General features: G+C 36.2%; 1 long non-coding RNA gene across 1 annotated transcript in view; it reads right to left on the reverse strand.

Moving 5' to 3' along the window:
- Positions 1–208: 208 nt before the first annotated feature.
- Positions 209–15,541, reverse strand: part of LINC02745 (long intergenic non-protein coding RNA 2745) — an 83,737-nt gene continuing 68,404 nt past the window's right edge. The window contains exons 9-10 of the long non-coding RNA NR_135065.1: positions 4,377–4,571; positions 209–639 (exon numbers count right to left, since the gene is read on the reverse strand). This is a non-coding gene — a long non-coding RNA (long intergenic non-protein coding RNA 2745). The remainder of the gene's footprint in view (positions 640–4,376; positions 4,572–15,541) is intronic.

Genomic DNA, 15,541 nt, shown 5'->3' on the forward strand with positions numbered 1-15,541 from the left:
ATATAATATAAATAATAAAATCATTCCGTAAGCTTTAAAACAATTAAATTGTAATATAATGTGATAATAGAAAACAGAGAAAGGAAAAATGCCTGAAACTATTTTTAAAATTCTGTGTCTTTCTTTCTCTCCCTCTCTATCTATCAATCTATCTTAAGCAAACATTTTTTTCTAAAACAATATTCAGTGCTGATGGCATGTTGATAAAGACATATTAATTAATATATATTTATTAATTTATTAACAATTACATTTAAGTCTGTAATCCACCTTGAGTTAATTTTTGTATAACATGTAAGGAAGGGGTCCAGCTTCAGTTTTCTGTATATGGCTAGCCAATTTTCCCAGCACTATTTATTAGATAGGGAATCCTTTCCCCATTGCTTGCTTTTGTCAGGCTTGTCAAAGTTCAGATGGTTGTAGATGTGTGGTGTTATTTCTGAGGTCTCTGTTTTGTTCCATTGGTCTGTATGTCTGTTTTTGTACCAGTACCATGCTGTTTTGGTTACTGTAGACTCGTAGTATAGTTTGAAGTCAGGTAGTGTGATGCCTCCAGCCTTGCTCTTTTTGCTTAGGATTGTCTTGGCTATACAGGGTCTTCTTTGATTCCATATGAAATTATAGTAGTTTTTTCTAATTCTGTGAAGAAAGTCAATGGTAGTTTGATGGGAATAGCATTGAATCTATAAATTACTTTGGGCAGTATAGCCATTCCCATGACAACAACGATATAAATATTTATATATTTTTAATTCTTACATATATAAGATATGTATACATTCAATTGAATACATATATTCAATTCTTACATATATATGTGTATATAGATACACTATATATATGTGGGCATATATATATATATGTATAAAATACATAAATATTTGTGTTTTCTGGTGCTGCTCTGAAGAAATTATTTTCCAATTACCATGGCAATGACTGGCTAACTTTATAGCTGGGTATGAGATTATTTAGAGAATGGTTGCACTGATATTTATCTTGAGCTGAATAGCTGAATAATTGGAATATGCCGTTTTGAGTAGTTCAAGCCAGCTGACTACAACTTCTCTTCTTATTTTTCACTAAAAGTCTTGGGTATTTCATACTATCATTGTTATTTTATTTTTAAACCAAATGATTTTGCAAAATGTCTGGCACATCTCTTCTCCCATCTGGAATCAAGAGACACTCAAAGGTTAAAAATTAATCCTACTTGAGCAAAAGATGGGTTTGTTATTCTGGTTACTCAATCTTCCTGATGAAGATGTTTTTTTCTGGACAGCTAGATCATAAGATAAAAATAGCCATGAGATGGTATTGACCAGACTTTTTTCTCTCCTTTGAGAAAAAGTTGATTTTACTTTTAGAAGAAGCCTATTCAGGGACTCTACAACTGCGTTGTTTTTCTAATTCAGTATCCTTTTTTGTTACTTTGATGTAAAATTTTTCTGCAAGAGGACTATCCATAATTTAATTATTATTTTTTTCTTCTTATATCTAATTATATTCAGCAGGAAGGAATCTGCCGGCAGAAATAAGCATAGTAACCTTCTCATCTGAGCTGAGAATTGGGAGTATTGGGAAACATACTCTAAACATACTTTCTTTCATAGATTCCTCAGCCTCCACGGTATGCGGCTACTACATTTATATTTTATGTGTATAGATGTATGTTGTTTAATAATGTATAGAGGTGGATACACTTGCAACAAGGCAATGCGATGTTCTCATTTGATCTACTTTGGTAGACTCACTCTCTGTCAGGAAATTTACTGCGATAATGTGCACAATAAATATTTAATAGCATTGGAGACATCAGAGTCTATTTTTCTTTGAAGAGTGCTTAATTATGTCAATTTCCCGTGATGAGATGCTAAAGTCAGTATTATTTGAATTTGGAGTAACTAGGTAGAGATGACGAAATCCTTGCTTGTGGCTCCCCTTCCACAAAAAGTCAATGTGCGTATAAGTTTAAGCAGGCAATATAGCAGAACCACAATCTCGTTAATTTGGGTCACACTAATTAAATATTTGTGATACTTCAGCTGTGCTTGAGCTAAAGTTTACTAGTACTATCAACGAAGAGAGGGTTGGTTAAGCTAAACATGAGAATAAACAACACAGGATTTTAAAAGTTACATCTATTTTTACTGTGTCCTCTATATTCATGTAATTTGATAGCTTTTTATTTGCCTATATAAATTTAGATATATAGATTATTTGCCTCCATGTTAGGTTGAATCATAGGTTGACATTTGATAATTTTGGCCTAAATATGGGCAATTTTATATGGGTCAATTTATAAGCTTTAATCCTCTCAGTACAGAAGATCTGATGACAGACAAAGCAATATTTCTGTCAATTCCTTGTAGATGATGACAGACCATGCTATATTCTTGCTACGTTTTTCTTACATTATCACTAGAACATTCTAAGCCAAGACCTTAGATGATGGAAAAGTTGATAGGATAAGCAACAGAGTTCCACTTGGCTTTCCAAATAGTTGCATGCATTTGGCCTTAATCTTGAGAGTTATAACTTGTAACTCTCAGTAAAGTCAGAACATATGGCATCACTATGAAGAAGAAACTACAACGTGGCTCTCTGTGCATGATGACAGTTTTGACTCAAATATCTCATTGCAATGTTATTTTTACATCCTCCAAAGAACAAACTTTTTAAAGTATGTATTTTCTACTGGACAAAATAAACAATATTAGACTTTCAGGAGAACTTTTCTTTGGAAAAGTCTTTTTACAGAAATGTAGTAATGATTAGAATAGAAAGCAAAATATATAAACTATGTATAAAAAGAACCGCTTATATTACTGAATACCAAACATGTCTTATTTTAATAATAATAATTCGACACAAGATTTTCACAGAGTTATGAAGTTTCGCTTGAAGATTTCATGAGGTATACCAAGTAAAAGATTTTTTAAATCCCTAGAGTAAAGAAGTGGATACTATCAAATTTAACCCATGCATATCTGAGTGTTACAGGTAATGATTTTTACCTGGTGGTAGATTCTTTGAAGACAGAGAAGATATCATACACATCTGCAGATCCCCCAGAATATCTTATAGACCATCGGACACAAAATCTGTGCTTTAAAACACATTTATCAAATTGTATCCTTCTCTGTATCATGTCTCAGAGACATACCTGGCCCATCTGTGTGTTTCATCCCCTATTCACAATGTTGGTGCAATGATAGACAAGTGAGTCATACCAGGTCAGTGGTACCTAATAATGGGACTTTTGCTCAAATTATTGGCAAACATGGAAGAAGAAATATTCTTCCATATTTTTAATAATACAGCTCATCATCCCTCATCCTTTCAAATAATATCTGCGGACACCCATCGTGTATCAGACTCTACAAACCACAAGTGAAAAATCTCCCCAGAAGAAAACTGAGAGAAAATGAGAGCATGACAACATCATTTGAGTATCAGAATGTAGTTCTAACTGAAAGCTATTACTAAAGTTTATAGTTTATTTAATTTAAGGCAGTATTTTAGATTGCCAGCGGCAACAAAGAAGACACCTGAATAGCATAAAACGTTTTCCAAATTGAGGTTTCTTGGGTTCAGATATCATTTAGACAATGTTAGTATACCTTACACCCAACTCATATAGTTCTGGGGAGATAAAAATTAGTAGTCACATTACACATGCATCCTTACATTTAAGTAATACAAATCAAATTATTGGCACATAGACATACCCCTACAGACATAAAAGCACATGTAAATTTTATACATATATACATACATGCATCAGTGTATATACATGCAGGTATGTATACAATTTAAATTGTTCGGATACTTCTCTCTGTACTTCTGCTATTTCCTCAGATGATTTTAGTATGTGTATTCTTTTCATACTGTAGTTTATGCTGACATTTATAAGTTTAAATGAGTATTTTTTATATAATAGACATAGTTTCCTAGGGAATTGTAATTTTAAAAATACCCCGAGTCACTGAAATGTTGTTTATAACAGTTAAAGAATGCAGATCTATAAATTCCCACTGCATTAGTGTTAAATTACAGTAACTCTGTAATACAGAATATTATAAAGTAATTAAAAATGAGAAAGGGTTACAAAAATTAAAAATATTTCATGAATAAAACCTACATGTTAGTATGTTTTTAAAATCTCATATTTCTGAAAAATAGAAGATATATGTATATTTATAGTCATAATATTCACATATGAATTAACATCACATAAATTCACACACACATACACACACACACACACACACAGGTCCAAGAGTCACTATATACATCTTTTCATAGTGATTAGGCATGGGAGCCTAACTGTTCAATATTTTAAAAAGTAAGCAATTGGAATTTGCTGTAGTACTCACTTAATTTACCCTTTAATAACAAGAAGAAGAAAATCCAAGAGACCTGACCTTACCGGTCAAAATCCACTGACCATCAATTAATAATCATCAGTGCAAATTGGCTGCCTATTTTGTGTTGTGTCATTATCTTCTGCATGTGACACTTTCAACTTTTATTATATCGACAGTAATTAAAGTCCACCTATAGCAGGCCATCTGCAAAATGTGGGCAGTAGAGGCAGTGAAATAAGACATTTGGTTATGTTCAAAGTGTGTCCCTTTTCTCATTGTTTAGACAAAACTCTTACATGTCTTGGCCCTAAATTTTTATTATGACCCCAGTTTAATTCAGGCTTAATTCATCCTGCCCTTGGCTCTATTCTGTCTTTTTGTGATTGTATGTGGCCCTATTTTAAAATATTATTTTAAATTGATAAATAATAATGTAATTTATGTAGTACAATGTGATATTTTGTTATACATATACAATGTGGAGTGATTATATCAAGCTAATCAATCAAGCTAAACACATCAATCACTTCTCTTACATGGACATTTTTTGTAATGATATATTTGAAATGTACTCTCAGTTATTTTAAAATATACAATATGTTATTTTTGACTAAAGTCACCCTACTGTACAATGAGTCTCAAAACTTACTCTTCCAGTCTAGCTGAAATGCCGTACACTTTGACCAGTCACTCCCCATTCCATCACCCTCCCACCTCCATCCTCAGTCTCTAGTAACCACTATTCTACTCCTACTTCTATGAATTCAACATTTTTAGATTCCACATATAAGTGGGATCATGCAGTATTGGTCTTTCCATGCCTGGATTCTTTTATTTAGCTTAATGTCCCTGTTTTGATCTCTGCAGCCATTGTAATGTTAGAACAGTCTCGTTCATTCTATTCATTGTAAGTACTCCAAGATTCCCATCTTTGGGGGCTGCAAATAAAGCCCTATGTAACAAATAATCTGTTTCAGGAAGAATTTTCTAGCACTAAGAAATGAGACTATGGAAGCAACTATTTATTCCATCTATGCACAAGGTTTTAAGTGCTTCCAAGAAATCTAAATTTGGCCTCCTCATTTAAAAGATAAACAACTCCACTACCATCTATGTTTAAAAGCACCCATAAATCTGAATCACCATCTGGTCCTTCTTCAGTAAAAGAGCTAATTATTCAACTGCTACCTGAACATCTCTACTTTAGAAAGATGCCTCCCCCATCTACAACTCAAATGCCAAACTGAACTCATGCTTCCTCTTATTGCAAATTAGCCCAATCCTTTCTTGTGTTAGATATTCCAATTAATGATGTGCCATTAATTCTGTCACCAAACCTAGAATCTGAAAGGTGGCCTCTTCTAGGTGCCCTTTCCCCTCATAGACCGCACTATGCTGAGTCCTGTTGATTCATCCTCCCTTGACATATCTCAAGCCAGTCTTCTACTCTTCATTTTCACTTTACTTACTTTCTTTCAGAAATGCACCATCCTTCACTTTTATGTTTGCCAGTGTTCACTCCACTCCATTTACCCTTCATATTGTCACCAACTCATCTTCCTCAAATAGAAAATCTACATTATTACCATCTTAAAATCAATCGGTTGCTTGATGATTCCAAGATAAGTGGTCTATGATTTTTTTTTTTTTTTGGAGTTTTGCTCTTGTTGCCCAGGCTGGAGTACGATAGCCCTGTCTCAGCTCATTGCAACCTCCGCCTCTTGGGTTCAAGCGATTCTCCTGCCTCAACCTCCCAAGTAGCTGGAATTACAGGCACCTGCCACCATGCCCGGCTAATTTTTGTGTTTTTAGTAGAGATGGGGTTTCACCATGTTGGCCAGGCTGGTCTCGAACTCCTGACCTCAGGTGATCTGCTCGCCTTGGCCTCCCAAAGTGCTGGGATTACAGGTGTGAGCCACCTCACCAGGCAATAGTCTATGATTTTTTTGTTGTGTACACCATAAGTTAAAAATAAAGAGTAATTGCTCCTAGGAGTCTATTACTTAATTATAAATGATATATCTCTGTATTATGTATACTGTGTGTGCTATAAATCGTACACAAACAAAAATAAATAATACAAGATAACAATAAATGTGTATAGCTGTTCTCTATTTTCCTCTAGTATCCCAGTGAATTGTTCTGAACATCCCTGATGCTGGCTCACTTTCGTTTGAAGTTTATTGTTTCAGTGAATAAAATCCACTCGTTTTCTTTGGTCATTTCTTCCTTTGGCCCACTTTGAATCCTGTTCTTCCTTCTACCATAGACCTTATAATGAAGAGTTGTGATTTATAGTTTATGTGTGATAGGGATAAGATATAGGTAGGGTTAAGATTAGGTTTAAGGTTACAGGCTGAGCTTCTTGACAGCTGAATATAATACGGTCTTTGTTTTCACAAACTGAGTACTCAGCACATTACTTGGAGTATGTTTGCTAAATAAATTAATGAATTAATGTAAATAAGTGTTAACATATGAATTAGTTTAGATTGAGCTTTCTAAATATAAAATGGATTTGATTGGATTGGCCCTGGTCTGAAGTTTACTTTTGCACTTTAATACAATATACACTATAATAATTGATATTATCTTAAAAATTTCTGCTTGAAAGGATAAAAAATTATCTAGCATTTAGGAGACACCTGCTACCTAAAAATGCCCTAATTATAGGTGACTGTTATCTATTTATTTGTCAGGTCCCTTGGAATCTCGAATCAGAAATATTTTCTATACAAGCAATACATACAACCGTGTGTATTTAGAAAAGTAATAAAATGGAATTTTATTATAATTCTATGTTTTGGATTCTGGTTGTCTTCAAAGTAATATGTTTTCATTTGTTTATGCTCTTAAGTTTCTGGGAAATAGATGCTGGCAGGAATTATCATATTTTAAGAAAGATTACTGTTGTGTTTTCAACAGCTTAAATTGCTTGAGTTAGAAATATTGAAGGACTTGAAAGCACGTTTTCATGATTTCCTTCAGACACATTTCTTTTATCTGGATGCCTACTGATTAACTGCCTTCGCAGAGATAAATAAGAGCCTTCAACCCCGGTTTCAGCACTGATTCCACTGGAAGACACAAGAGGCTATGCATTTTGCAAATTTACATTAGCTGCACAGTTTCAAAAAATGTCCTCCTGAGGCAAGCTACAAAAAGTTCTCAAGATAGAGGTAAGATTTTTATCATCATACATTTATGATCGTGAATTTTTTAATTGGCTTTAGAAAGAAAAAAATGTTCATTAAGCATGAAAAGGAGGTAAGCATGGAAAAAGAAAAAACACTAACATAAATCTAAATTAATTGCTCTAATATTTTTGAAAGCAAGCCAAAATTAAACCGAGATACGAACTTTTTAATATAATTTGTTTCTCTTCCCCAAAGCAGATGTCACTGCCACTTTGGCCAGAGTTCTACAAGGAAAAATCATTATCCTTAGGGATAACCTCAGAACCAAAGGAGACTTTGCCATTTAAAAATTTCAATACCAGTTTCTACTTTCCAAGTTTCCGAGTGTGCCACACAGGATCTCTGGTTGCCGTTAGTTCTCTAAGACATTTTCCATGAAAGTAAATCATTAATAATAGCAATTAATATGTTCAGGGAGATTTTTCCTTTCCAAAGTGCTTTACAAACATTCTTTAATCCCACAAGCTAAAAGCACACTTTATTCACCTGAAGTTTACAGTAAGGTTTGGAATTTGTTCGAAGATGACATTGTTTACTGACCCCCAATGGGGGCTTGATTATCAGCATGTAAAACAGACAAAAGAGGCAAAAAAGGGGATGAGGATCACAAAAAGAGAGAAGTGAAAATAAATCATATTCAATAAAATGTGATGTGTATTACTGAGAAGCTTTTATGCATCAGACGTTGATTCAGACATAGATGACCAATACAAGATGACTATTATTAGGACCAAGCTGGAAGGCTTTGCCAAATTGAAATTTTCTATACCTATGGTTAGATAATGGAAGTGCAGGGTCTTATGAGACTTTATAGACTGGAGATATTTTATCCATATTTGGTGTGAAAAAGCATAATTGAGAAGGTAGTATTTGAAGAGTTCTGAAGGATGGACAACATTTCAGTAAGCACAGTTGGAAGCACAGAAGGCATTCTCCATAGAAAGGCAGATGTGAGCCCAGGTATGGATCAATATTCAGGAAAGTCTGTCCTGGAAAAGAATACAAGGAACCGTTTGGCTGAAAGTATTAAAGTGCTTGGGGTATGAAGTGGAGGCGATACTGAAAAACATGTGTCTGGCTAGATTGTAGTAGACTGTACTGTAGCAAAAGAAGGCAAGGCACAATTCAGTAGGTGGTGAGAGTCCTTGAATGTGTTTTAGCCCAGGAGGAAAGTGATCAGATTTTTGCATTGTTAACAGCATTCTGCTAAAAACAGAACTTTACAGCAGTGTTGAGAAATGTTGAGGTTTCATGTAAATGTAACATGTATCCTTCCTAAGGCCTGTAAAAAAAAAAAAGTCCAACGGAGGTGTAATACAAATGTATCCAATTCTGCCCCGGAGCCATGGAGAAAGCCCAGTAAGGGGTTTCATTCAAGACCCTCTGTCTATAGTGAGGGAGATGGTGGGGCTTGCTCTCTCTGGAAGCTTTTTGAATGACTGATGTTGCTGAGGCATCTAATTTAAACTTACTTGGATTTATCTGGCCTAAGGGAGTTGCTGAAATCTTTTAACTGGCAAGGTGGGAATTAACTATTAAAGAATGATAGAAAAATCAGTCAGGCGTCTTGCCTGAGAGGCACCAGGGCTTCAAGCTGGTGAAGGGAGAAGCATCAGTCATGGCTCTTAGAGTACATTCCTTAGGGCCCCTACTCCTTCCGACGGCCTAATCAGAAAGCAGTAGACTTCCTACCTTAGAGGGACTATTAGAGTGACTGCAGCCATCAATGGACTGGTGCTCTGTGCTTTGACAGATCTGATCTCAAGTCACCTTCCCACTGCCCTTTCCTTAAGATGCAGGTACTGTGTAATTGGAATAAAACAGCCCAGTCTACAAGACCTGCTCCACTTTGAGATCAGACCATATCTCTGAAAGGGCTTTTGGGAAATTCTGGAACTGCCCCATCCATTAGCTGTCTATGACTTTACATGCTTGGCTGATTCAAATCTCCTCTTCAAGTACCACCCCCATGTCTGCTGTCGACTCTCATTGAATTGGCTTTTCTGTCCAAGCATTTCAGTAATGATTCTAACTCTGGTGCTTTCTAACTTAGCCTTTTTTCCTCAATAAAAGAACCCAACTTTCCCACTAAGTGCTGCTAGAGAGATTTCGATTCAGTAAGCAAATGTGGGTCCAGATTTCTACATTTTTGACAAATGCTTTACCTTATCATGATGCAGCTATTCACAAAACAACTGCCCTAGACTGCAAATCACATATAGATAAGTATCAGGCCTGTTTTTTTTAATTTTAATTTTTATTTTTTTGCCACCATGATCCAATGTCTAACACAGTGCTTCTTACAAAGAAGAGACTCAGTATATGTTTACTGAGACCCTGAATGAGTGGGGGAATGAACACACCGGCTGCAGAGCTCTCTGCCACTTCTCAGATCTTACATATTAGAGATCCTAGCCTGAAACTAATTGAAGTTTCAGACCTATCTGTGTATATCTAGTAAAATGAATGGATAGACATTTAGAATTTGGTTGGCTTAGGATGCTTTTGTCAATGTGAGAAGAGAGCGATGGTCAATTCTTGCCTAAAAGGAAGAAACAGTAAAGGGCAAGGGGCAGTGAACCAGGCCTGTGGTCAGCGGGGTCTGAAAGAGAAGGCGAAAGTGCTGTTTGTATAATGGGCATAAGCAAAAGGTGAGAAAGAGGAAAGAAACCCTTAGTTTTCTGCAGTAGTTAGCGTGACTCCATAAGAGGAAAACTGCAGCGAACGTAGGTTACTTCAGCATCACGCAATTAAAAGTTGGAAACATCAGAGATTAGCAACTTGGGAATGAACATAAATGAGATAATAGATAACAACAGTAGTAGTGGTAGCAATGAGATACAAAATGGCCAAGCAAAGTTAGGCAATGATATCAGGCAAGAGTAACATAATAGAGGATTCCCCCAGGAGACCCTTAAGGCAATTCATTGGGGATTTTTGGTGGACTTCAGTTAATCAAATAGGGGTCATGTCATTAACCTGAGTTAATCAAATAGGGGTCATGTCATGATTTATGTGTTTTATTGTACAGCATCATTAGCATTCGTAGCAGGTGTGGCCTGGTAATATGTGGGTTATGTATGTAGTCATTGGAGAACAACTATCTCTCTCACTTTCCTTGACTTCTTCAACTATTGCCGTTTCAATCTCCACTCAGTAGCTCATGAGCTTAGTTTAAGTAGTAAATGTGCAAAAATCCCTACGTATCTTATATATACATACTCATTTTCCCACATATACCCCTAAGTCTTCAAGATTTAGGGAGAGGTCTACAGTTCTATGTCAGGCTCCCCCCAACAGTCTTCAGGACTGTAAAAATTCCTTCAGTCAATCTGCTCATTTGTTTCTATGCTATAAATAGTTTTCTGCAAACCACAGTGTTTTGTTAATCTCCTGGGTAGGAGGGAATAAAAATCATAGCATTGTGACGTTTTGAGGCATAAAAACAAAAGAAATTTTACTAATCAGTCTCAGTGCTACAGTCTCTATGGGTACTTATTTTTCTCAATTCAGGTTTTAGAGTAGGCACATAGCTAGGAATCGTATTATTACTTAACATTACTACCACTTGCAGTTGTCTTCAGAAACAGCTTGTTTGATTGCCTCCTTTTCGCCCTGTTAGAGAGAGGGCTGTCCACCTGACTCCCAACACTGATGAGATCGAGAATAGTTTATTAGTCTTTTAAACTCATAGCCCAGGAAAGCTGGACACCATATGCCATACAAGGCCACACACAGGGAGTTACACTCAGGAACACAGAGAACAATCAGGGGCTGTGGGAGGCAAACTTTATAGTAACAAGGGGATGAGATGACCCCTGCTTCCCATGAGAGGATGTGAGTGACTTATTTGAATCATTCTGCAGTGAAAAACCCACTACTCAGTGATAAGCAGCCACTGTACATGGTCTATACATGATCTATGTTGATAAAGAGACTACACATCGTCTCTGTGATAAAGAAAGTTGATTGGTTAGGGAACCTTATCTGCAGGAATAGAGTTAAGGAGAAGAGCTTGCAGTTAGGCCATTTGAGAGACTCTTAGTTTCAGATGTCAAGGCAGCATGTAACATCGAAACTTTATTTCAGGCCTTGCGCCATACAGTTGACATTTAACGAATGCTTACTCTGTTACATGCTGGTAAAGAGCTACAAAGAGATTTCTCATTTTGTCTCTACATTTTTCCCCACAGCAACACTATACCTATGAGAAAGTGCTATGAATTCTCTCCTTTTTCACACATGTGGCAATGGTATTTAAGCTCCCACAGTTAGGGATAGAGCCAAGATTGGAGGCCCTTCTGAATGCTATGTGCATTGCCTTCTATTAATATCAATAATTGTGCCAAGTTCATTAGGGCTTTTAAATACAAATTTAATTTTAGGATCCTTGAATTTTAGAAGTATAATGGGTCACAGAGATCTCAGTTTACCCTGGGAAAATTAAATACATACATCTTTTGAAATGGAAAATTAGGACAAGATGTAGAATAAAGCCATCATAGACCAAAATTGAGCTAATGTTAATTAAATGCATGTATTTTTTAAGGACCTAGGGAGTAGTGATATTGCCAACATGAAAATCACATGAACTGTCAAGAAGATGTCCTACAAGGCAATTAAGATGCACCTAGATGGTACACTTTAAGATTTACGTAGCTCAAGCTTTGCTGACCTCAACCATCTATGGTATCAATGCAGTCACATTAATATGAATAACCCATGTTTACGTATCTCTTGTTCCCATTTATTTAGTCATCTGTAAAAACAATTTCCCCAAATACTCATGATATTACTCAGGGGATGTCTCAAGTGTTTTCATGAACAAATCTTCTTTGTCAGAGTAGTTTATTGAGCACTACTTCCCCTGCCATTTAGTCCCGGGTTTCCTGCATTCACCTACAAGGGACTAACCTTCTGTCAGAACCTAAGTCACTCCTTGCTGAGCACTTCCTCATTTCTGCTGCTTCTCCAAGCAGAACACCAGTGATTCTCTAGTCCAAAGTGTTCCCTAGCTGCTATGCGAGGTGTGCGAATAGGGGAAGAAAACGACCCTATTTTTTTAGATTTTATTCATTTGGGATGATTCTAGATTGGTACCATTTCTTTAAGTTTGTCATGAAGTGAATCTAATGGCTGGTTTCTGTTGTTTCTGTTTCTTGTCCTTTCTTAAGAGGGTAGGTGCTTCTTTTATGTTTTCTTTATAATCAAAAGTCAAAAGAAATGACTCCTTCTAAATTCAGGTTTCCACCAGGGTCTCCTAGCCTCACTACTTAAAAAAAACGAGGTATAATTTTCATAAAGTAAAATCCACTTTTTGGTGCAAGGTTCTGGGAGCTCTGACAAGTACATACAGTCATGTAGCCGACATCATGATCAAGGTATAGAACAAGTTCATCATCTTCAAAAATTCCCTTGTTCTCCCCTCATTCATCTTCAGCCTCTGGCAGTTACTAATCTGTGTTCTGTCGGTATATTCTTTCTTTCTTTGAATGTCATATAAATATGCATTCTGGTCAAAAATATATATATTTGTTTTTATTTGTGACAAAGTTGAATATGGTCCCCATTTGTCTGGGACTATTTCAGTTTATGCATAATTATCAATAAAAACCACTTTTATTCTCAGGTGTTTTTCAATCTGGATAATAAATTAGAGGATTCTGCTATTTATTGTAGTATGCAGACACACACACACACACACACACACACACACACACACACACACATCTCCATGGAGGATGGGTTTGAGGCCACATGTCAGAAAAAAAATAAATCGCCACCCTTTTCTCAACTATTTCCCTAATCCCTTCATCTTCACACAAAAAAGAAGAATAAACACAGACAACTCAGCAAATTGGAATCTTTAACTTTTGAATACAGTTATTTTTCCCAACTTGATTTTCAAGTGCACGACCCGGTAACACTGGCTATCCAGATATTTAGCAAATAATCCAGATAAGATACATATACATAAATGCATCACATTTCATAACTTAAAAATTGCTGCTATAATATGCTAATTTTCCTAATATATGAATATATAAAGAGCTTGTCACTGGAAGTGTCCGTACATAGGCAGGTCAACCACTTGTCACGCAGGACTATAAAAGAGATAATTCAGGACTCAAAATGGACACAAAGAGCATTGGACTTCCTGCTATCTGAGATACATTCCAGCCTAAGACAGTGGAGCACCATTGTTTAAAAGAATGCAAACTTTTGATTACGATAACCCTACATACCAATTCTAGATTTGCCACTTCTTTCCTCAGCTTATGTTTTCTGATGTGTCAAATGGGAGTAACACTTAATATAGTTGTTAAAATTAAATAGAACAGTGTAATTTGTTAGCATAGTGTCCAGCATGTACTAAGAGTTCAAAAAAGGTATTTATTATTAAATTAAACCAGAGGTTTTTAATTAGTTGCTTTTTAGAGTTTATTAGCGCTTAGGGTAACATAAGCCAAAATGGTCAGTTGAATCAGGCTTGATGAAACATAGCAATTAAATTTGTATTTTGTCTAATAGAAGGTAGCTATTTTAAGTTTCCCCTTCCTCTTAGAAGCATGCAAGGTGAAGCATAAAATCACACTGGTTGTCCACTGTGGCAGACACTGCTAGAGCTCAACACAAGGAGCTTCTCCAATATTTTGGGGGCCCAGGCCAAGGGTACCCGTGGATGGCCGCCTACAACACATCTCAGTGTTTAAGAATAGTGAATCAAGCTGGTAACCTGCTAAATGAAATATATTCCAGCTTTCCACATTGTCCAATACATTCATAGCAACATGGAAAAACACATTTAAATTTAGATTGCTTAGGCTCCTTGGAGTTCATACTAGAAAATGGCAGCAGGGGAAGACCTGAGTCCAGGCCCCTACTCCTCTAGTGTGGCCTTTCTCTTCTCACTCCACTTCCAGCTCCATCTTGCGCTATGAATTACATCATGCACATCCAGCCTGCTCAAGCAAGTTTTGTGCCAATTATTCACAAACATCCAGCCTTTGGACACCTTTGGGACTGAGCAATTCATATACAGGAGGTACCTTCGACCTTTTTGGAAGATGAACCTATGGACGAGCACCAAGCTGCACCTGGAAATAATCACAATAGCATTTTTTTTTTTTTTTTTTTCCAGTAAATTTCAGTATCCAAGGCATCCCTGGACTTTAACCTTATATTCTCATTTCTTGTTGGGGATGGTATATCTGAAAGAAAGACTGAAAGTATCTGTCTAAAAGAATAGGCCCACAGCAGGGGCTTCTCTCACTCAGGGTCTGAGGGCGGCACTCCTCTTTTTTACTTTCTGAGTGAGTGTCTGCATAGGTTTTATACCGTAACCTCCAGGCAAGCTTAGGTGCTTCTATGTTACAGAGTACTGAGCCATGGAATGTGGGAAGAAGTGAAGCATGCCATCTTAGACCCTGGCTTTAAAAGTTGTCAGGAGATCCTTTCATTCTCTTTCATCATTCATCAGATGGCCAGATGCAGAGGATCCCGCAAAACACTCTGGGGTGTAAGGAATGGCACTGGGGTCTAAGGAATGGCAGGAATCATTTGATAGAAAAAGCCCAAGTTATTCAGTATCTGTGTGAAACCAAACTCCTTCCTATGCCCAATCTAAATAGGATTCTAATAGATAAGAATAAAGAGATTTTTATTTTAAACCATTGTAGAGAGTGTCTCTGTGTGTGTGTGTGTGTGTGTGTGTGTGTGTGTGTGTGTGTGTATTTATGTGTTAGCAATTAGCATACTCTGCCCACATCATTCACTAACCTTGAGATTTACCCTGGATACATTTCTTGCTTCCATGCTCCTATCTGCTTCTAATTCTGTATCCCATAAATAAATAAATAAATAAATAAATAAATAAATAAATAAATACATACATAAATACATAAATAAATACATAAGACTTTCAGAATGAATGAACAGATGAATGGGTGAATGAATGAATAAACAGAGGAAAGATGA

Source organism: Homo sapiens, chromosome 11 (genome assembly GCF_000001405.40).
Source record: "Homo sapiens chromosome 11, GRCh38.p14 Primary Assembly".
Classification (NCBI taxonomy): domain Eukaryota; kingdom Metazoa; phylum Chordata; class Mammalia; order Primates; family Hominidae; genus Homo; species Homo sapiens.